This window comes from Homo sapiens, chromosome 2 (assembly GCF_000001405.40).
Source record: "Homo sapiens chromosome 2, GRCh38.p14 Primary Assembly".
Classification (NCBI taxonomy): domain Eukaryota; kingdom Metazoa; phylum Chordata; class Mammalia; order Primates; family Hominidae; genus Homo; species Homo sapiens.
This window is the reverse complement of record NC_000002.12, coordinates 69,225,332-69,249,327: the sequence shown is the minus strand read 5'-3', so window position 1 is coordinate 69,249,327 and position 23,996 is coordinate 69,225,332. Positions and strand designations below refer to the sequence as shown.

The following is a 23,996-nucleotide window of genomic DNA, read 5'->3' as shown; positions in this document are numbered from 1 at the left end:
TTGATTTAAGAAATTTATTATTTTTTTTAAAAAAGCAACTTCCAGGGTTGTCATTGTACAGGTTTTGCCCAGTCTCCTATAGCATGGTATTATGATCAGGATATTGAGGACTTGAATACGTTGCACTTTATAACAAACAGACAACCAGAAAAAAGAGTTGATTTAAGAAATTTATTATTTTTTTAAAAAAAGCAACTTCCAGGGTTGTCATTGTACAGGTTTTGCCCAGTCTCCTATAGCATGGTATAGTGATAACTGATTTTTTATAACAATGACTCAGAGGCATTGAAGATCCATAACTATCTTCTGAATTATCACAGAAAGAAGAAAGTTAGAAGAGTTTAATGTTAAGTGTATTAAAAATCATATTCTAATTCTTTTAATTTGGTTATCTGAGTATGATAATATAGGAGAGCTCAGATAACAAGAAAAGGCAATTGGTTAGAACACTCCATTCCCACAGGATGTGCATTAACAGACTTTTTACTGCATATGTCTTTATATAGTTTGCAAACTAATTCAACCATTTTACACAGCATTAATTTTTTTTTTAACTGGGTTGACATTGGGCTGAAACATTTGCTTATCATCTTATAATTATTTTTTCCTGTTCTTTAATGGATTTTACCCCCATCTGACATAGTGTTTGGACTTTAGTGTATGTGACACTTCAAGATCATCTCTGCCCATTCTGATGATAGTTACAATGAGGTTACCCATGGCCAGATATCGAAGACTATTAATTAATCCACCAGCTCTGTTCTCAACTTTGGTAAAAGAGAGATCTTGTGTCTCACTGGAGGGTGCACCAAGCTTCAGGCAAGAAACTGTGAGCTGGCTGTCAACAGAATATGGTTCTTATCAAGGTTCTTATTAATGCTGTGCAAACAAGGGTCTCGTCATTTCAGTAACTATTTGTACATTTATAAAAGCAATACAGTCATGGGAAAAACCAACAAGCACAGCTTGGTAGAATAACCTGCCATGAAATATCATCGGCTTTATAATAATTTACTACAACTGTTCTTTTTATTCACACTGGATAGGAAATGCTTCCATCTAACACATGGAATACGAATATATACAACACAAATTTGGCTTTAATAAAAAAAAAAACAGTTCAAAAGGACAATAACACGGGGGCTGAAAACAATAATTTTGTGCAGTTTCCTGATCATAATCACATGTCTCCTGCCTTTTACAGGGAATGACACAAGTATTGATGGATTTTGTAAACCAGTTAAAACATTTTCCTGCCTGTAATAGCCCACTATGAAGATATCACCTTGTTCATACAGTCTTATAGAAGTTTCTCCTTCTTAACTGTAATTCTAAATAACCGGGGATGACACACTGAGTCGGTTTAAGAACAAATCCTGCTGAGCCTTTTCAAAATCATCATACATTTGCAGTTCCCTATTCCATCAAAATGCTTTGCCGAAACAACATCTTGTAACTGCACTGGGCATATGACTGATGTGCTGAATGGTGCATTTGCACTGATGCTCACCATCTCGTTGCTCAGCAACGTCAGCATCTCGGCTTGAACTTCTGAATGGCCGCGGGAATCACGCGGCAGTGCCATGGGGTGGGTGGACTGTTTTAGACTGCCAGCAGTCAAAACAGTTGTGATGGGCTCAATGTCTCTACACTGTGAGCCTGGGGAACCCATTCTCCTATGGAATGGTTTTCAGGGGTCCAGCAATGTCACTGCAGGTGGCTGAGATATTCTGGCCCCTGCTTATGAGGAACTACATGAAAGAAGAAGCCTAGTGTTCTAAAAATTAGACAATGCGGCAGGGTTGGGGAGAGGCTGGGGGGTTGCTTTCATGAGTCTGGAAATTTCTGGTTTTAGCTCTCTGAGAAGGCTGGGAGACTCTGTTGTAGGCAGCTGTGGGAGAAGGCTAGGGTTGGAGGTACACCTGGAGATGTGTCAGTTTGGTGTTGGCACTGCAGATTCAGCGCCCGTGGTCCCTGACTAAGGCACTCTGCCTAGATCTATTTTCCCCTGACTGTACCTTTTATGCCCCCTGGCTTTCCCATTCTCCCTGGAAACTCCTGTTTGTTTTTGCTTTCTAAGATAGAGATAGCAAGTAGGGTTCATTTCTCTCATCTGACTGTTGGGTTCATCTGACTGTTGAGTGGCGGCTCTTTGGAATTGTAATTTGAGAAGGATTGTGAAGAAATCAGTGGGCTTAATAGGAAATAGTGCTGTGATTGATTAGCAATGTCTGCCATGGCCACAAAAATTGGTATTGATAAAATAAATGCATCCCAGGCCCTTATATCTCTGTTCTAAGTAAAGTGAGTGAATGAAGCTGGCTTGATGTATTTTTGAAGGATCTTTGGAGACCATAGCCCAAGCCACTAAATGTATATTTATTTTATATTCTGCCTTGTTCCAGAAAAGATCTGAGAATTTGGGTGGCTTGGGACAGGAATTTTAGGATTTGTGGAAAGCTAGAGAGAGAGATAATTTTGAATAGGCTGATGCAGGAGGTCCAAGACAATGATCTCTGTTTTTATCCCTGGGTGATGAAGCCCAGTGTTTAGCAAGTGATTATAGGGCTTATTGATTAAACAGATCCAGAAAGACCTGGATAAATGGGGTGAGTCCTAGGCATGGTGGAAATTTCAGGCAGAGCATTTCTGTGTTGCAGATCTGATGTATTTCCCCTTGGTTAACAGCTGAGGTTCTATGTCGAAAAGCCAAAGAGAAGTATATTTGTATACACACACATGCCTTATGGGGGTTAATCAAAGATCCTTATTATGTCAGGACCATTGTCTCTCAGCTCTGCCCAGAAGTCTGTGGTGCATGGCTTTACCAAGAAAAAAAACAAAAAACAAACAAACAAAAAAAACTAGTGATATTGTGTGATAGGTCCTAATGATGGTATTTTGGGAAGATCAACTTATGTTTATCTCTGGAAAACAGGATAAACTTCATACCTCAAGTGATTTAAACTGAAGCCAAACCTTGATTTTTAACATGATTCATTAACAGGTTGCTCTTCGACAATGCCATTGTCTGTTGATTTAGGGTCCATGTCTGGCCAAAGCCAGCCACCTCTAGCTGCTGATGGCCTGTGGGTTTTAGAAACTGGCTGATGCTCCCATGAATACGCCCCTGTCTATTGCACACAACTGATTTCACTTACACATCAACATAGCAACATACCTTTTCCATCAGTAAACACCTGCTCCCCTTCTCACTTGGAAACTGGAAGAATTTGCAAGGAAAAGATGCCATACATTTTTTATGTACCTGCAAATCCCAGAAGAACATCCTTCTGCATACCCGTCTGATGTTGAGTTTCTTACCACACCAGGGACCCCAGCATTTCCAAAGTTGTAGGCAAAGTTTTCCTCTTTCTTGGGTGGTGCACAGGGGTGAAGGTCCTTAGGCTCCTAGGCCAAGGGTCCAAAGTCCAGGGATGGAGGTGGAGTAGAGGCAGGAAGGCAGCATTTTAGAAACCCAGCAATGTATTTCTTATCCAACTCTGCATTTCACCTTCAGATAAATGATTTTCTTACTGGTCTCCATGAGACATAATCCTGTTGAGAGCATCTTGCAGTTTCACTGTCTCTGGAACCTTCTAGAGGTGATAGATGGCTGGCTATAAATCTGACTGTAGTTGCCTCATCATTTGTTTTCTGGCAATTTAAAATATCTGTTTCTTTCAGCTGATCATGATTGTTGGTATACTGGCATTGCCAACCAATTTTTAGAATGTGTGAAGGTCAGTGGGCTTTATCACCACTCCTCTTCTCTAACTGGAAAGACTTGTTCTAACATCTCCTGAAGTTTCTGAGAGAGCCCAGAGCAGGAACTTTGGGCTCTAGACAGAAGGCCTTGGAGGAGGGCGGGAGGGAGGAGGTGCCCTGTTGGGAGGTGGAGCCTGGGGAGGAGGGGGAAGGGTGGAAGGTGGGGACGGGATGGGAGGGGTAGGGGCGCTGGGGGGCGGGGGAGGGCAGTGGGGCGCAGGAGGTGGGGGAGTGTAGATGGGGGCAGGAGGCGGCGAGGAGGTGTGGTAGGCGTTGTTGAGTGGGTACTTGGCTGGCTGGTTGTTCTTGACCCTGGTGAAGTTGATGCAGCGCCCCTAGAAAAGAATTGGAGAGAAGGAAACGTGAGCGGACGGCCTCACATCAGGGCCTGTGGTGCTGTGGTGGGCGGCTTGCAAGCAATATGTGGAAAGCTGGCCCCTGTTGGTGACAACTCTCTAGTGGCACATAGTAGAACTTGAGGACAAGTGAGCTCCCCACTTCCTTTTCCTGGACTGTGTTGCAAAACTGTTAAAATTCATCTTTTCCTGGAGTCTAACTCTCTCAAGTGGGAGAAAGGGAATGAGACTGACCTTAACTGGGTGCTGTGTACAGAGGTCATTAAACTGAATCTCCTCAACAGCCCTGCTAACCGGGTATTATTAGCTGTTCCACTGCACAGATGAGGAAGCAGAGGTTCAGAAAAGCGGAGTTACTTTTTCAAGGCCACACAACTAGGAAGAGATGGGGTTGGTGATTCTAACCCAAAATAGACTCCAGAATTATTCTTCCTGCTGCTACTTTGCCTTCTGGAAGGGATCCTCATATTTCATAAACAAAAGTAATTTATTTTGATTAGTTCAGTTACATGCCTGGAAATGGCAGAAGGTTAACACCACGAGCTTCTCCTATATTGTAATTCAAGGATGTAGCTAGATTCTGTGATTGGAGTTGTCATGGAGGCCCTGATGCATTTACCTCGTCTGTGCCCCCTCAAACACTTGTTCCCGGTAATGAATGAAGGAGGCAGCTATCTCTACTGATGTGATCAATACAGCTTCCTCATCCACGCCTTGCCTTCTCCAAAGTGCTAGTAAATAATAAACAGTTTGTCCTGCCCTTGTTCTGGCTGTGGGAATCCCTCTTCTACACGCGGCTGCACCTGTGCAGGTAGCCTTAGTTGTTGTCACAGGAACTGACAACCTGTGTACCTTAAGAAATACAACCTGGGGACATTCTATTGCCAAGCAGGCATCTGCCCTGAATTCTGCTTTTCTCCTACCCTTCTTGGGTACTCAACTGAACAATGCAGAGAAGACCCTGGAACCCCTTAAAGCAGCCTCCTGAAAGTCAGCGTCCAAAGCCAGCCTTAAGTAGCCCTGTCTCCCCTATAGTATCTGCTCTGCTCTCCAGAGTCACAGGCATGCTTTCTCTGTCCCCCAGTAGATACCCACTAGTCTCATCTGGTACTCAGGAACTTCTGTGCAACACTCAGCTCTGCAACGGAGGGGAGACAGGGGTTCTCCTGCTCACCATGTTCCATGCTGGCGTGAGCTCTCTTCGCTTGGCCACTTGCCTGGGTGGGTACCCACCCCTCTGAGGGCTCCTGGCCTCCCTCACTTCCCATGCCTGTGGGGTATCTTATTGTTCTCTCTCTGGCATGTCTGGATGCCTACAGAATTGCTCCCCACAGCGGCTGAGGTGGGGTTGCTCCTCTCTGAGGCTGCCCTCTATGCTGGGCCTGGGGCTGGGGTGTGGAATTGTTCCTGGCCACATGCTCCAGGATGGAAGTTATCCTGTGGTGTCCAGCCTGAACGAGATATGTCCAGAGAGCACAGAGTTTCCCTTTCCAGGCCTTTTAGGGATGAGCTTGAATGAGAATGAAGAGGGTGAGGTGTGGAATTTGGGGAACAATTGCTGCTTAAATTAGCTCTAGGACAAGAGGAAAATGAGAGTGTGCTATTAGAGACTTGGCTCAGGATGGGCCACAGAAGGGACAAGCCACATGCTGAGCAAACCTTCCCTCCTTGTGCACAGCCCTGTGCATCCTTCAAGTCATAAATCATGTCCCTTTTCCCCCAAACATTTCCCCCACAGTGACTCCAGCCTCCACTTACCCTTTGCTTCCTTGAGTTCTCTAGTTACAGCCTACACCACACATTGCAGCCTGCATACTACAGTTGTTTCATCTGTAAATGCCTTGCCTCCCTGGCCAGACAAGAAACTTCTGGAAGGCTGCAGCCTTGTTTTGTGCTTTGCTGCTCCACAACTCACAGCCTCACAGGGTGTTCTGCATGGTACAGGGACTTTTGGTAAAAACGGAGTTGTTTGAGCCACTCAGGAAAAGTAGGGGGTGGGAAACCTTAGCAATAAAGTGAAAATTAATTCCTAGGACATAGCATTAGTCAGAGGGCATCTTGGTGAGGAAGGGCCAAACTTGATGGGACTGCAATTGGTTTAGGAGTTGCAATGCTATGTTTAGATGCCAGCACCCCTGTTTCTCTGAGCTTGCATTTCATGTGATTAAACCAGGTGCTAAGCCGGGGAGGCTGTGACTGGGGTTCCACCCACTGCAGAAAGAATTTACCCCCTCCTCGCTGCACTGCCCAGAGCTCCCGGGTTTATGTCCAGCCTTTCAGGCATGATGCCGATTTTGTAACCCAGTACTGTACATTCCCGGCTGTTCAAGCTGCCCTCTTTTATAGCTTTATAAATCTAAGCCTTGGTTACAGTTTATTTATGATTCTGGATAAAGCTTTCCTTTAAGATGTGAGGGCCCTAATGATTACCATCTGTGATGAATTCCCATGACGACAATTTAGAGCTGGGATTTACTGTGCTATCTGTTCTGCCCTTCGTTCCTAGACATGCAAAGTCAGACAGAGAGGCTCAAGAGATTCATGTCCTTGAAAGATGAAGGGAAACCCTCATCCTGGGGAAGGAGCTGCTGGTGCCTGGGGTTGAGTGCTCATCTGGCTTCAGATGTCTTCTAGAGCTGGCCACCAGGCTGGCCGAGAGGGGAGGCTAATTAATTAATGAATCCGGAAGCTCATGTACTTATTCTCTTCAATTGAAATAAGTCACTCTACTGTTTTTACCAGAGGCTGTTTTGTCCAGAGACAAAATCGGGAGCTCCCAGCCTTCTTCTGCCAATATCTCTGTTCATAATCCATGTTAGGATTCCCAGGGGTTTTCAAAAAAGTTGAAAGCATCCACAGACTAAAAGATGGTCTCTCACATCTGTCCCCTGAAGATGGGATGAAAGAGGGCAGTGGGGGCTGTGGGGGAGTGAGGTGGGGAGGAAGACCTGAGGTCAGCACTTCCAGCTGCCGCCGTGGTGTCTTGGCCAGAGCAGCAGAGGGATGGAGATGGGGTGGGGTAAAATGGTGATGGTGGAGGCAAAGAGTCCTCCTTCCTCTGGTCAGTAACACCCTAGGGGTACGCCCATGGGTCACCTAATCCAGAGCATTGTGCTGTGGTTCATTATAGACCCTCCCCTCACTCCCCACCACCTGGTCCTTTAGAGCTGAGCACAAAAGCCCAGAGCTCTCATCGAGCAGCCAGAGGGGAGGGGCAAGCTCAGAGCTTCTGCGTGGCCCCCACTGTGGGACACCCCACAGTGTGATGTGAAGTGGGGGTAATCATACCGCCTGTCACTTACAGGTATTAGGAGGACTCCCTTAATCAGTGTTATGAAGGGCTTGGAACAGTGCCTGGCGCATTGTGTTTAGTAGTCTAATGCTGTCTCTCTGCAGGTGGGGATGCGCAGACACAATCAGACCCTGTCTGTGGTGGAAAGGCCAGTTGGAGGTGGTATCAGGTGTTCCAACTCCTAGTTTAGTGTCTTCTGAGTGAGCTGCAGACTAGAGCTTCTATACTCCACATCTGGCTTCTATAATACAACTGGTAAATAGGAAAAAATGTAGCAAAATTGTAGGGAAAAACAAAGCAGCCCCTAGAGCCTGCACTCTTATGTTTGTTCTCTCCTCCTGTTGCCACCAAGTCCTGTAACTTATTTCTTATAGGACCTCCCACAGTGCACTGCACACAATTTGACTGATGTTGAATTTATCTTCCTGAAAAAAGGTGCAGACTCGGCATCAATAAATCCCTGGGGTAATATACAGTAAGACCCACAGTCTTTGTAAGAGGGGTGTGGTTACAATAAGTTCTTAAAACCTGGAGTCAGAGGTGCCAGCATAAACACGGTAACATTTAGACCATATAATTGGCCTAAAGATCAGTTTACACAACATCGTTTTTTGCTTGCAAGAGGATAATAGAAAGGCCAGATGTTCTCACCGTCATGTAGGCCAGCAAATCTGCACCAGTGTTTGGTTAAAAGGTTGCTAGGACGATTGGAACTCTCGCTTCATAACACTGGTCTTTGTGACCCAGTTTTATTTTCCACAGTATTGGTTTTGGGTGGTTTGATTCCGATCCAAGATTTGGCTTTGACCTCAGTTTACCTCAGCATCCTCATTTACAGGAATGAATGCCAATTATTTTCACACATTAGCAAAAATTTCTCAGATTAAATTCTAAGAAGAAAATGCAACAATATCTCCAGCTAAATGAAGGCTTAGGATGCCAGCTGGCCTTCCTCCTAGGCTTGAAAGTGCCATTTTGATTTGGGTGTATCTAATGGTGGTGGGAGGACTATTTGAAACGTCCAGGTACATTAGTGTCTTTACTTATCATCAAAACTCTGTCAGTTATGTATCAGTATTTTCATTGTACAGAAAAAAAACTAAAGTCTCACACCTATTTAAATAACTTGCTCGAGACTACACAGCCAGTAAGTGGCAGAGTGGGATTAAAACCCAGCTCTGTTTGCCTCAGGAACTCATCCTCTTTATACTGTATTCCTGAATATAGACTAAAAGTGCAAATGATTTCTTGAAAGACTTGTAGATAGCATCACACAGTGTAGCACTTGACCACAATCCAGCAGCTCTTGACATAGTCAAACGATTGTTCCCGAACCTAAGTCTGGTCAATTCACTCTCCAGCTCAAAATTCTTCAGTGATTCCCCATCACCTTTAAAATAAAAGCCAAACACCTCCACTGGCATACACAGCCCTTTGGGATCTGGTGCGTGCTTATGGCTTTCAATTGATGTCTTACTCTTTTCTTGCAAGATGTCCAGCTTGGTCCACCCTATGCCCTCCACAAATATTTGTTCAATGAGGAATATAATTTGCCATGTGGAACCCTACTCTAAATGTTTCCCATTAGAAACATTGCTCCTTAACTGGTTGGTGAGCACCTCTGAGGCACCCTCAAGGGCTTCTCCTGTGGAGCCTAGTGTTGCTCTAAAGAGCCCAACATTCAAGTTGGCACTCAACAAGTACTGCTCACACACCGGAGCTCCGAGGTGCAGCAAGATGTCTTAGAAAGCTCTGATTTTTCCCTGCAGGTTTAAGCTCTCCAAAGGTCAAGGATCCAGGAACACAGCTATGAGTTTAGGGCTTCTCAGTCACCTCCCCATGGTCTCCTTGGACATCTCCTAGGTTCTTGGAGAAAGGATAGCAAGAATCCTATGTACTTCCCTTGGCTTCCACACTTGAAAGGTTAATGTTACCTCTAAAAATACTTTTTGGGTTACCTTCGATTGCTTTATTAAAGGAAATTGTTCTCAACAAAAAGCTTTGCCTAAATTGGAGGTGACATATTCTGAAATGGTTATGATGAAATGGTCAGGATGAAAGATCTTGTTGATCAGGTTCTGGATTTCCTTGGGTTTGAACTCCAGGCATTGATGGTCTGAGGCATTTAGAGACAGGACACTGGTGCTGGGGGCTGTGGTCTGCCTTGTGGGTTGCAGTCAGGAGGCAGAGTTCTACCTCTAGTTCTGCCACTAACATACTCACTGTGAAACCTGGGGCAAGTCACTTTCTCTCTATGGGCTTCGGTTTCTTCATCTGTCCAATTAAGTTGTACCGGCTAGATGACGTTCAAGGGCCTTTCAGCCCTAATATTCTATAATTCCATCAACATTTTTTTTTTGAGATGGAGTCTCACTCTGTGAGAGTGATCTCGGCTCACTACAACCTCTGCCTCCTGGGTTCAAGCGATTCTTCTGCCTCAGCCTCCCAAGTAGCTGGAATTACAGGCGTGTGCCACCACACCTGGCTAATTTTTTTTGTATTTTTAGTAGAGACGGGGTTTCGCTATGTTGGCCAGGCTGGTCTTGAACACCTGACCTCAGGTGATCCGCCAGCCTTGGCCTCCCAAAGTGCTGGGATTATAGGTGTGAGCCACCGCACCTGGCCTCCATCAAAATTTGAATTCCTTTGAAACCTTTTCCTTGGATAATTTAATCTGAATTCTTTTGGGGCAGCCAGTTTGCACATTTCTTTATACTAATTAGTTTGGCTAATGCTTTGTATTGCATATTTTTCTGGTTGGTCATTAGATTTTTAAAAATATTAATAAATTGAAACTTCAAAATTGGAGGTCTGCCTTCTGCTTTTCTATTATTGTGGTAAGAGTTTGAGCTTGCCTGCAACTTCTGAATTTGGGTTTGTGGGATGACAGGGAGATGTGAGAAGAGGTGTGGGCCGATTGTGTGCAAAAGACTTGCCAGTGGTGAGCTCATGTGTGCTGTGTTATGAGACATCTGTTTGGGCATCAGGCACGCTCCGTGGAGAGGGAGCTGGACTTTGGAGATGGTTAAAAATATGCTATGGCTTCCACAGATTAAACCAAATAGTTTCCTATGAACAGAGGTCATCTAAGGAAAATGGATTCCACAGGAAGAACACTAAAATAATTAGATCGTAAAAGTATAACATACATGCCAAGTTTCCTCTGACAAATACCTTTTCTCTCTGGCCTAGTTCTCCCATTGATTACCTTGTTTGGAGGGCTGTAGGTATTTCTCAAGTTACTAATGAATTAGGTTTCCCAAGTCAGTTGTTTGGAATTATGAGCATAGTTTCTAACTTAAATCATTCTTGTAAACTCAGGCTAGACCACAAAACCTCATCGACATATTGAAGGCAATTGACATAATCCTGCCGAAGGTGGTGCTCTACTGATGAATTAAACACATCAACAATGAATGGATGGCTGGATTGGATGACTTAATAGTTAGCCTTCTACACTATGATTCTCTTCATTTGTTAATTTATTTATGCATTTATCCTTTTGACAAATGGGTTTTAAGTGCCGGCTATGTCCTCAAAGGTGCTGCAGACAGTATTGAGCAAATGTTGAGGTCCCTGTCCTCATGAAGAATATAGTCTAGAGGTGAAGACAGACAGTAGTTAAATGGACCCCAGCAACCACATTTGTGATCTGTGACCCTGAGCTTGGCCACAGTTGATTGGACCAGTTGATTGGACAACTATGCTGAGCTAGACCAATCAGATTCTCTCTCCTGCGAATTTGGAATGACCACTGAGTGACAGGTAGTTAGTTAGTCAGGACTGATCATTTGAATAGAGGGAATGTAAAGTGGGAAGCTGGGGATGAGGGAGCAGCCATCTTCTGCCACAGTCAGGGAGAAGCAGAGAAAGCTCTGATTCTGTTTCATAAAGATCCTTCATACTCATTCATTCTGCCCTGCCCTCATTGTTGCTCATCTTCTAACACTTGGCCACCAAGTAAACCAGTCTTCCTGCTTTCAGCCTTTCCCTTTCACTTTGATATTTTGGCTTTCCATGTAAAATTCATACACGTGTGCACACACACACATATATATAAATAAAAATGTGCATATACATACATATATATGCATGTCTACATATGTATAGATAGAGGTATGTATAAAATGTATGTATACCTGTATATATAAAAATGTGTAGATACACAGATGCATTCAAAGTTATCTTTCTGGCCAGGTGAGGTGGCTCATGCCTGTAATCTCAGCACTTTAGGAGGCCAACGCAGGTGGATCACTTTAGCCCAGGAGTTAGAGACCAGCCTGGCAACACAGTGAGACCCCGTATCTACAAAAAATAAAAAAAATTAGCCTGATGTGTGTGCCTTTAGCCCTAGCTACTTGGGAGGCTGAGGCAGAAGGATGCCCAAGAGTTTGAGGCTGCAATGGGCTATCATGGCACTGCTGCAGTGCATTCCAGCCTGGGCAACAGAGTGAGACCCTGTCTTGCTCCTTCCCCTTCCCCAAAGCTGGAGCCACGGGCAAAGAGAAGGGTGTGTTGTGAGTGGTGATGCTCTGATCCTTCTCGGCTCCCTTTTCTCCACTTAAAACTTGCCCTGCCTATAAATCTCATAATAGCCTGCCTTTTATGTGCTGTTCATGGAAAGGGATCCAAGGTCAACTCTTTTAATTGATTCATTTTGCTGACACACATACTGGCACGTTCTCCATAATAATGTCTTTGGATGCCAGAACTGAGGGTAAGATGAAAGCACACAGGAAATATTTGGTAACACGAGGAAACTAGAAAAATGAAGGAAAGGGTAGAAATAAAAATGGCATCTCTTTAGTGGGACATGTGTAAATACAAGGTCTGTCAAGAATTAATGTTGAGATATGACTTATTTAATGATAAAATCCCCTTTTTCCATCTGATTACACAGTTCTTTGTTGAAAATTTGAAAAATACACAAAAAAAGGAAGGGAGAAGGGAATGTTAAATTATAGCATTCAGAATTAATATTTTGTGCTTATCTTTACAGAACACAGACACACACCCAGTGGTGGATTTATTTACAAAAATGGGATCATCCTGTATGAAAGTTTTAAAGTAGTTTACTGTGACCATTTCTCCCCTGTCATTTTCAATGGTTGCATAATCTTCTATCACATGGAAGCACCAAATGCAGTTAAGAATTTCTTTGTTGTTGGGTATTAAGAGTGTATCTAATTTGTCTCTATTATAAACAGTGCTGTGATAAAACTATTTATCCATAAATATTTTCATACATCTGTCAATTGTTTTAGAACAAATTGTTTGAGGTAGAATTTCTGGGTCAAAGTTTATGCACATTTTAACAGTTTTTGATAATATATTGTCAAACTGTCTTCTAGAAAAAGTGATATTCATTCATAGTTCCAATACTATTTTATGAGAATTTCTATTTCCCTACACTTTCAATTACAGAGTTTTAGAATTAAAAATTTTTGCCAATTTGACTATCTGAAGGAATTGTATTATTGTTTCCCTGTTCACTGTCTTATTATTTGTGAGATGAAAGTTTTTAAAATGTGTGTGTATATATGTAAAGATATATGTGTGTATACATATACATATATACACTCACACATACACACATATATATACACAAACTCACATATATATACACACACACACTACATATGATTTGTCTGCTCATATACTTTGCCCACTTTTACTGAGGTTTTGATCTTTTTTTATTGATCTTTTTTACTGATTTGTAAGAGCTCTTTATAGAGTAATGATGAAACTGGTTGATAGGGTTAGGTTTTGTGTCCCCACCCAAATCTCATCTTGAATTGTAATCCCCACGTGTCGAGAAAGAGAAGTGATTGGGTTATGGGTGCAGTTTTCCCCATGCTGTTCTCATGATAGTGAATATGTTTCATGAGAGCTGATGGTTTTATAAAGGGCAGTTCCCCTGTGCTCGCTCACATGCTTTCTCACCTGTCGCCATGTAAGATATATTTGCTTCCCCTTCTGCCATGATTGTAAATTTCCTGAGGCCTCCCCAGCCATACAGAACTGTGAGTCAATTAAACCTCTTTTCTTTATAAATTATCTGGTCTTGGGTAGTTCTTTATAGCAGTATGAGAGCAGACTAATACACTGGTTATGTAAGCTATTTTTTTTTTTTTTTTGGTTTGTGATTTTTAAAATTTTACTGATGGTATTTTTTGATGTACAGAAGTTAAATAAGTTTATGTGGGTAGCCAATTATATCAATCCATAGAGTCTATTCTTTTTTTTTTTTTTTTTTTTTTGAGACGGGGTTTCACTCTGTGACCCAGGTTGGAGTGCAGTGGTGTGATCTCAGCTCACTGCAACCTCTGCCTCCTGGGTTCAAGTGATCCTCCCACCTCAGCCTCCCAAGTAGCTGGGACTACAGGAATGCACCACCACACCTGGCTAATTGTTTTGTATATTTGGTAGAGACAGGGTTTCACCATGTTGCCCAGGCTGGTCTCAAACTCCTGAGCTCAGATGGTCTACCAGCCTTGGTCTCCCAAAGTGCTGGGATTTACAGGCGTGAACCACTGCCCCTGGCCCATAGAGTCTATTTTTTCATATCCCTTAGAAAGGCCTTCATCAGGGCTGGGCACGGTGGCTCATGCCTGTAATCCTAGCACTTTGGGAGGCCAAGATGGGCAGATTACCTGAAGTCGGGAGTTTGAGACCAGCCTGACCAACATGGAGAAACCCTGTCTCTACTAAAAATACAAAATTAGCTGGGCGTGGTGGCACATGCCTGTAATCCCAACTACTTAGGAGGCTGAGGCAGGAGAATCGCTTGAACCCAGGAGGTGGAGGTTGCGGTGAGCCAAGATTGTGCCATTGCACTCCAGCCTGGGCAACAAGAGTGAAACTCCGTCTCAAAAAAAAAAAAAAAAAAAAAAAGCTTTCATCATTCTTTTTTTTTTTTTTTAGTTATGTTATAGTTTCACTTTTCTATGTTTATAGAATGTTTATAGAATGTGGACTAAAGAGCCAAACTACTAGGATTCAAGAGATCTGGTTCTGCAACTTACTGTGTTATCTTGGACAAATTAATTAACTTCTGTTTTCTTTTCTGTAAAATGGGTTAAATAATTGATCCTAGCTCATGAGATTATTGTAAGGATTAATGAAAATAATAAATTTTTTAAATTTTTGAGACGGAGTTTTGCTCTTGTTGCCCAGGCTGGAGTGCAATGGTGCAATCTCAGCTCACTGTAATCTCTGTCTCCCAGGTTCAAGCGATTCTCCTGCTTCAGCCTCCCAAGTAGCTGGGATTACAGGAGTGCACCACCTGGCCAATTTTGTATTTTTAGTAGAGATGGGTTTTCACCACGTTGGTCAGGCTGGTCTCGAACTCCTGACCTCAGGAGTCCTTGGCCTCCCAAAGTGCTGGGATTACAGGCATAAGTCACTGTGCCCAGACTATAAATAACTTTGAATGGTGCCTGACATATAAAATTACCCAGTAAATGTTAACTATTATCATCTGGAATATATTTTGCTATGAGGTGTGAGGTGCAAGTTCAAATTTATTTCATCTTTTTCTAAATCAGCCAATTGTGCTAACTTAGAAATACCATTTGTTAAATAATCTACCACCTTCCAACTAATTTAATGCCAGCCTTATATGGCAGATTCTCACTTGTTCTTTCATTTGTGTTTTCAGATCTCTGTTCCACTTCTCTGATGTGTCTCTCTATATCTGTAGCAGCAGTTTCCACTGTTATAGTTCCACAACATATTGTAATATTGATCTTATAAGTCTATCTTTATTATTTTTCAAAATTATCTGCACTATTCTCATCTGATTGTTCTTCCAAACAATAACTTAGAATAATGTAATTCATAAATTAAGTTGGAGAAAATGGCCTTTTATATTTTTATGTTTTCTCATCCATCAATAGCACATTCCAAATTTGTGATTTTCGAATGTAAGTTCCAGCCTTCTTTTAAACATTTATTCCTAGATTTATTTTATTGTTGCTATTGTAAAGTTTCTTTTCTCTATTTTAGCATCCTACTCTTAGTATATTTATTTTGTATTTAAATATTTTACTGAATTCTCTTACAGTATTTCTGTTGATATAATTTAATATTTTCCATTTCTAATATTTACTTATTATTACATTTTCTTGTTTTATTGCATTGATTAGAAGTGATGTCAGGTGTCCTTATCTTATTCTTGTCTTTAGTGGGAATACCTTCAGTATTTCATAATAGTTTAGATATCCTTACTTCTGTTAAAAATATACTTTAATTCCAGTTTAAGTGTTTAAAAAAATTTAAGCAAATATCAAACACCTTTTTGATATAAAGTAAGATAACCCTATTGATAGATATTTTTATTAATGTTAAGGAAATAATTTCCTATTCACAGTTGATAGTTTCAAAAAGTAATATTTTAAATTCTATCAGAATCTTTTTGATATCAAGATCATTATATTTTTCCTATATTTTCACCTACTGATATATATTTTATAAATTTTTTTCTAATAAAAATTATCTGCACATTTCTGAAACAAACTTTTGAAAAGTTCTGAAATTAATTCTCTTTGATTTAGGATTTTTGCACCCAAATTCACAGGTGAATTTGGCCATGTTTCTTTTGTTGTGAGCTACTTTTCATCAAGATTATGTTAACTTCACAAAACAATTTGGGAGGATTTTCATCTTTTTATATGTTCTGTATTTCTGAAATAGCATAAGAATTACTTGTCGTATAACAAGTACACAAGCATGAGATAATTCTCTCAAAAATTTTCTAGACATGCTGTTATTTAAAAGTATAGTTCTTTGATGCCTTTAAAAATTTTTGCCACAGATATTGATTTATTCAGGTTTTGTACTTTTTTTGAGTCAATTTCTGTAATTTATCCTTTCTTAGAAAATAATTCATCAAGATTTTAGAAGCATTTGCATAGATTTGTACTTTGTTCACAGGGCATTCTTACAGGTAAACAAATCTCCTTCGTTGTGATAGTCCTTTTGTCTTTCTTAATAATTACATATTTTCATGTTCTAACCTTCCTTTTTGGATTTGTCTTTCAAAGATTCATCGATGATACTGGTAGTTCCAAAGAAATTCTTAAAGACTTATTTCTTGCTTCTACTGATTTTGCTTTGTTTTCATTAATTTGTTTTTTATTCATAGATTCCGTGTTTCTGCTGTCTGTAGATTTGTTTCATATTATTTTCTAAGTTTTACCTAATTCTTATCTCATTTGTTTTCATTTTTTCTTGTTTAATAATGAAAGAATTTAAGGCTATGATGTTTCCAAATCCCACAAGTTTTTATTGAGATGTTCCAATTGTCATTATTTTCTAGGATCCCAGTTAATTGCAGTTTTGATTTCCTCTTGGACTGAATAGTAATTTATAAGACTGCTTTTAAAACTTCAAAGTGCTTTTTTTTTTTTTTTGGAGACAAGCTCTCGGTCTGTCGCCTAGGCTGGAGTGCAGTGGTGTCTAAGTGCTTTTTTGAAGCAAGAGTTTAATCCCTTATTGCTAAATTGTAGATTTTTATTTTTATTTTTGGTGGTATATGTGGACTCTAAAAATTATATGTTCTCTCTTTTTTCAGGTTTTCTTTGTGGCCTAAGTTATAGTTGATTTTTACAAGTTAAGAAAATAATATGAATTATTTATTTGAAGGGTGCTGTTAAATATCCATTAATCATTTTTTGATTCGATTTAATTAAAGCCTCTATATCTTTTATTTACTTTTTCATCTGCTTGCTTTATTGAAGTCCAAGGGTGGTTGTGAGTTTATTAAGTTACTTTTCTCCAACGTTTTACACAATTATATTTGCACAAACTTTGCTCTTTAATCACTGGGCCACCCAAGAGTAGCACAGAGGGTGCTCTTTCAGGGCTCTCTGGGCAGAAGGAAAATCTTCCATCCCAAATAATTCTTGCTTCCTGTTTGTGGTGGTGGTAGCTTATCTGCAAAGGTGGCTGCCATCTTTTCCCCCTGTAGTACACATGTGCTGTGGCGAGGAGGGGTCTATGCCTCTACTCCCTTGAATCTCGGTTGGCTGTGATTGTTTTGAATATAATGAAAGTGATGTGCTAGCTTTGAGCCTGCCTCTGAGGCCTGACAGTTTCTGCTTCCTGTTTTTGGTGCCCTGAGCCTCCATGTAAGAAATCCTGGCTGGCCTACTGCAGGGAGGCCTGTTGAGGTACAATGAAGGCGGTCAAAGGAGTGAAGAAGCCCTCTGGGATGTCCAATCAACCTTCCAGTGATTCCAGCCCCAGCCGCCATCTGACTGCAGCTTCATGAGAGACTCTAAATGAGAACTATCCAACTGAGCCCAATCGACCCAAAAAATGTGAGGAAAAATAGCAAATTATAGTTTAAGTCATTAGGTTTTTGGATGGTTTGTTATGGAATAATACTGAAACAAGAAGCAACTCATCTCTTTGCCTAGTGGGGTCATTCATGGTGTGTGGAAGCTGAGTATGAGTTGTAGGTTTCCCTTTTTTTTTCTGGACTCTGAACTTGGCACCCTTCCTAAAGTTGCTGCGAAGGATCCCGATCTGTGCTTTAGTCATTGCCTGATGGACTAGGACTTTATGCCACTGGAACCCAAGGTCCCCAGGAGAAAGATGGGATAACTGGATGACAGAAAGATATAACCCCAAAGGTAACCATCACACATTTCCTTTTCTGTCCTCTGGATATTATCCTGCAGTGTTCATTTTGAAATGTAGGTTATAGATTAGATAAAGAAAATGTGGTACATATACACCATGGAATACTATGCAGCCATAAAAAAGAATGAGATCATGTCTTTTGCAGGAACATGGATGGAGCTGGAGGCCATTATCCTTAGCAAACTAAAGCAGGAACAGAAAACCAAATACTGCATGTTCTCACTTACAAGTGGGAGCTAAATAATAAGAACTTATGAACACAAAGACAGAAACAACAGACACTGGAGTCTACGTGAGTGGGGAAGGTAGGAGGAGGGAGAGGAGCAAAAGAGATAACTATTGGGTACTGGGCTTAATACCTGGGTGATGAAATAATCTGTACAACAAGCCCCCATGACACATGTTTACCTATGTAACAAACCTTCACATGTACCCCCAAACCTAAAATAAAAGTTAAAAGAAATATAGATTGTTATGTTGGTGAGAAAGGGCTGAACTCAGGACTGGGAAAAATGTTGCAATCTGGAAAGGGGTTTTTGCCTATTTACACACTTGTGCATGCTTACTTGTGTAAGCTGAGCCTATGACATCCTATCACCTTCTCTCACGCTGCCAGTGGGTAGCTCAAGGTTGAAAAGTCTCTCCCGATTCTGAAGTCAGGCTACATACATATACTCAAATTGCCATTTTGACTTGAAAATCTTAAAAAATATTAATAAATACTTGGACACAGAGGAAACACAGTAAGATAAAGTAGCCGTGCCATCAAAATAGGGATGAACAAACTCTGTCCTAAGGCTATATGAAATGCTAACTCTCCATGTCTACCCTACGCGTAAAGTTACAACTACTTGCCATACAAATGAATGAAACTGTAAGGCCAAGTGGTAAAGGACTCACTCTGATGGCCCCTGAGGAAGGTCGATAAACCATTGTAGCTAAAAAAGGCAAAAATATACTAGATGACATAAGGAAATAAAACCTCCTTGTCTGATGCTTAAATCCCTTCTTTAAATCTCATAGCACTATATAAAATCATGGCATGTTTTGTTTGCACCTGTTTAGTTCTGACAAATTTCAAAAAATAAAGACAAAATAGGGTTGGAGAAAGGAGATTTAGGAAAAGTGATCAGGTGGCCAAAGTGCTGTCACTAAACAGGGACTGGCTCTGAGAATTCAAACCTTTCAAAGGGGCAAGACAAAGAATTATGCAGAGATACCCTGGGTAGTATACTTTAGAGGTGGTAGAGAAAGTTGAAAACATTAAGAGGAAGCAAATCATGCTGAGTGGTGACCCAGTGTGGCACATCCTAAATATTGTTTCTTAACTTTGCTCTTCTTAAAACCAGCCATTGGTACTGACCATCATCTCTTCATCAATGGCATCAAGTCCAATGTACACTCCTGGGTCCTGCCAAGCAGTGTAGCAATTACTTCTCCAAAGAGCCTGGTTTTAATCAACATTTTGGATGGGTCTCACTAATACTTTAGATTTAATGCACTTTTCTAAGATTAAAAAAAAAAAAAAAACCACCATGGCATGGTCATGCTGAGTGAGTGAAAGTCTGACCCAGGATGAACTAATATTATTTAGAGTCTTCCTTCTTGCCCTTTCTGTCTCACCTGTTAAGAATCTTGAGGATATTTTTCCTGTCCCCAGTTAAATGACTCTAACTACTTAGAACGACAATTAGTATAGTCTTTCAATTTATTATTTTATTTATGTTGAGGTATTTGCTTTAAATATTGGTGCCAGAAGATAAACCGACTAAGATTTTTTGGTCAAGAGCACTATTTAGCTTGGATGTGAAAATGTAAAAATTACTGATTCATCTGGTGCACAGCGCTGATATCATCCCGCTCCATATATACAAGCTCATGGATGAAGGTTTGTTTTCTTCTTTTGCACCAATCGAGGAATGCCATCTTCAGGATGAGTTCTTTTCCTATGCCAGTAGCTGTCAACACCTTTTCCCCAAAATGGAATATTAATTTTTTTAAAAAAGAACAAGTTTGCTTCTGTGCTTCCTGTATTGTTGCCAGTGAGTGGCACTGTTATGGACCGAATGTGTGTGTCTCCCCAAATCCATGTGTTGAAGCCTCAGCCTCCAGTGGGATAGTATTTGAGGGTGGGGTCTTTGGGAGGAACTTAGGGTTGGATGAGGTCATGAGGGTGCCTCCCTCATGATGGGGTTGGTCCCCTTAGAAGAAGAGTTCCCACAGGGCTTGTTTTCATTCTACTCACACATGCACCAAGAAATGGCTATGTGAGCACACAGCCTGGAAGAGGGGCCTCACCAGAACCTGATCACACTGGCACCCTGATCTCAGACCTCCAGTCTCCAGTACTGTGAGAAAATAAATTTCTGTTGTTTAAGGCCCACAGTCCATAGTATTTTGTTATGGCAGCCTGAGCACACTAAGAGAAGCATCCTAAATGGGTAGGTGTCTGCTAGGTTCTCAGCACTTCACACATGCACCTTTTTCCTATCCCACAACATTGTCACACTGGCCAAGCCCCCTACTCATATGTATTCATTTGAGGGACAAGTTGTTTGTTATGGAGTGAAAAGTTTCATACTAATCCCAAATGCCACTCACTGAGTGCTTACCCTATGCCAGGCTTGGTACTAGCTGCTTTATATTCATCAACTCATTTTGTTCTCCTAAAAGCACCATTGGTTAATATCCCCATTATCCTGATTCAAAAATGTAGAAATGGCTCAGGGGCTGCGTAATTTTCCCAGGCTATCTCTGTAAGTAAGTGACCGAGTGAAGATATAAATCGAGGTCTGTTTAGACTCTATGCTCTTTCTTTTGAGCAACATGTGCTTTTAGATTGGAATGAATCTAGGGCAGAATGAATCAAGAAGCATAGCCATGAAAAGAGTTGGCCACCAGTAATATTACCCATTTGAGAAGTTTCCACGGGTCCCAACACTTACCCAGCCTCCGTTGTTCTGTTCCAGCTTTCCATGTCTCTATTTCTTCCTTCTTTAGGATTTCAGTGCCCTGCAGCAACCCTTCCTGGAGAAGTGCCTTGTGTATCCCTATCCCTTTTTCCAATCATAATTTACTTGTCCTATGTGCCTCTCCCCTTATAATCCTCTGTGCTTTCTAAGGGACAAACCTCTAATCAGATCCACAAGCTGGGTCCACTATAGTGGTTTATTTCTTAATAGGCTCTATCTTTCCATAGACACAAAAATATACTGTGACAGAGATTGATAACTGTCTCTCATATGCATTTTCACTTTCTTCCTTTAGTAGTAGAACCCCTGAGTTTCACTGGCCACATGACCAGCCAGCAATGACTACATTTCCCAGCCTTCCTTGCAAAAGCTGCTTCAAGAGGCAGTAAATGATGCTGAGCTTGACCTAGTGTGGTGCAAGGATTGCAGGTGGGTGTGGCTTCCTTTGCATCAAGGTGTGGCCATGTAATCTATGCTCTGGCCAGCTGAATGTGAGCAGAAATTATATGTCCAAATTCTAAGCTGTGCCTTAAAGGGCACACCCTAACCCTTTTCATTCTTGGACTATGCTGACAAGAACCACACTCTTGGGGTGGTGGAGAAACAAGATGGAAGGAGCCTGGGCACCTGACAGCATGGAGCTGCCATGTTGATCCTGGACAGTTTATTCCCGGAGAGTTATATGTGAGAGGGGAAAAAAAAGTTCGATAGTTGAAGCTTGTATTATTTTGGGCTTTTGGTAGGTCAGCTGAACTTCTAACCTAAATAATATAATTCAAGAAAGGAACCTTCTGATGACAGTATTTTATTCTAAAGGAGCGGCCCCAGTGCTGGGCATTTGGGGTGCTGTGGTAGGCTCTTGTGGTGATCTTCTGGGATTAGGCTGGGCTTTGGGCAGCCTCTTACTTTTTGACCATGGAGTTGGATGCCCACCTTTGAAGAGGTGAGACCTGCCCAGCTGGCTCCCAGAAGCCTCTGGACTGTTTCCTGGACTTATCTGCTTTTTAGGTAAGGGCTGCCATGATCCTGCCAGAGTGCCTCTCAGATAAAACTAAAGGAAGACAGTAGTCAAAACCCTGAAGTATTCTGGCTGATGTCAGACAGAAAAACAGAAAATTTACAGCACTCAAAATCTGGGATTCATTTAGGAGTAAAAAAAAGCATGAAGTTATCCAACCTCAAAACTGTTTTCAGGCTTCCACTGGGCCCCAGTACTCTTCCTAATTGCAAGACCATGTAGAAGTTGGATCTGAAATAAGACCATGAGCCAGTATCAAAATGCCCCATTTTCATGGTGCACGAAATGCTTCACGAATCCAGCCTGCACTAATTAAATGTCTGTGATACTTCTCCCCAGGCTGGGCTGAGCTCGTGTTCTGTATGATCTGGGAAGAAATGGTTGTTGGACTCATATTGAGACTGTAAGAGGAATCTTTAAGAGGAAAAAAAATATATATGTTAAATCTTTTGGAAAGAGGCAGGGTAAAGCTTTGGGGGGATTTCAGCACCTGGATTATAAATAAAGAATGTCGCTAATTACCAACGAATTTTATTTGTTCATTAAAAGTGGACTCAGCAGAAAGCTCCACTTGGAGAGATGACAAACGGTATGACCTCTACTTCATTTCTTCTATTTCAATGGTTCCTCCTAGTTGCACAAACCCTTACCAGGATAACAAGGTCACCCCAAGTACCTGGATGGGCCTCTGACTCCCGAATTCTTCTCAGCCTCCTCTCACTGCTTTTGTTGCTGCTCCTGGCTTGCAGCATTTCTTACTTCTCAACCACCATTTTGGCTCCTAGGCTCTCCCATTTCCTACCGCTTGATGAGGCCTTTGGAACTAGCTTGACCTTTGCCTTCCTCCGGCCTCATGACCTGCTCCACATCCTTCCCCAATTGACTGGTCTTTCACTAGGTCCCATTCCACAGGGGATGAGGACTGGGCCCTGGAGGAGTCTCTCTGAGCTAGATCCCAGGGGCTGCTCACAGAGATCAGCCCTGGAGTGAATTCAGCCAGAGAACCCAAAGAAACTCTGTGAATCCAGACAGTCCAGGAAAAGAAAGGTGACCTCATGCTTAGTAAGAACAATCTCTGTTCAGTCTCCAAAGACCCTGCAATGAGTGGGGGTGCTCGTGGTTTGGCCCACTCCCCCGAGCTATGGCTACCAACCCCCTCATTGAGGAACAGGATTCTTGAGGCTGAGAGATGTGGCTGGGACTGAGGCAGAGGAATGCAATGGAGAGGCAGTGTGGGGACACACTGCAGTTCTGAACAGCTCACTCTGATTTTCTGGGAGTCTTAGCTATGCAGTGGTTGAAATTATGAATAAGCAAAAAGCCCAATAGTAACAGCAATACTCCTTGTCCTCTTTCCGGCCATCACAATTCCCACCTGGTCCTTTCTTGCCTTTCAGCCTTCTTTCTTTGAAGGCAGGGACTTTGTCATATTATTTGGTTTTGGCCTAAAAGAAGCTCTGGAATAGCACCCAACATTTGCTAGTGTTCAATCCATAAGCTCCCTGAAGAGGCTAAAGAACTACATTGTGAAGCTGGAGAGGGAGTTTGGGGGTTTGCATCATCAGTTTCTCTAAACCTGTTGCTTTTTCTCAGCTCGCCTCTCTCCTGCATCCCATCTCCCTTGCTTCTCCCCTACCCATGAGGTTAATGAGTGCCTCTGGTAGCGAGCTGAGCAGAACACCAAAATTTCCCTGCCTTGAGGTGTCTTCTTCCTACTCTCTGCACCCCGGACATGTCCAGACTACCAATTGGTCTGATATATGTATTTTTAAATTATTTAATAAAATAAAAAATAAATTTTTAAATTCACTTTGTCGCCCAGGCTAGAGTGCGGTGTCATGATCATGGCTCACTGCAGCCTCAACCTACTGGGCTCAAGCGATCCTTCCACTTTGGCCTCCCGAGTAGCTGGGACTACAGGCATATGCCACTGTCCCCGGCTC

The 23,996-nt window shown here is 41.8% G+C and overlaps 1 protein-coding gene across 1 annotated transcript in view; it reads right to left on the bottom strand.

Annotated features, from left to right (window-relative positions):
* ANTXR1 (ANTXR cell adhesion molecule 1) overlaps positions 1–23,996 on the bottom strand; it is a 236,184-nt gene continuing 212,188 nt past the window's right edge. Inside the window, exon 18 of the mRNA NM_032208.3 lies at positions 1–4,103. Within this exon, the coding sequence (NP_115584.1) occupies positions 3,843–4,103 (261 nt within the window). The 3' untranslated portion in view covers positions 1–3,842. The remainder of the gene's footprint in view (positions 4,104–23,996) is intronic.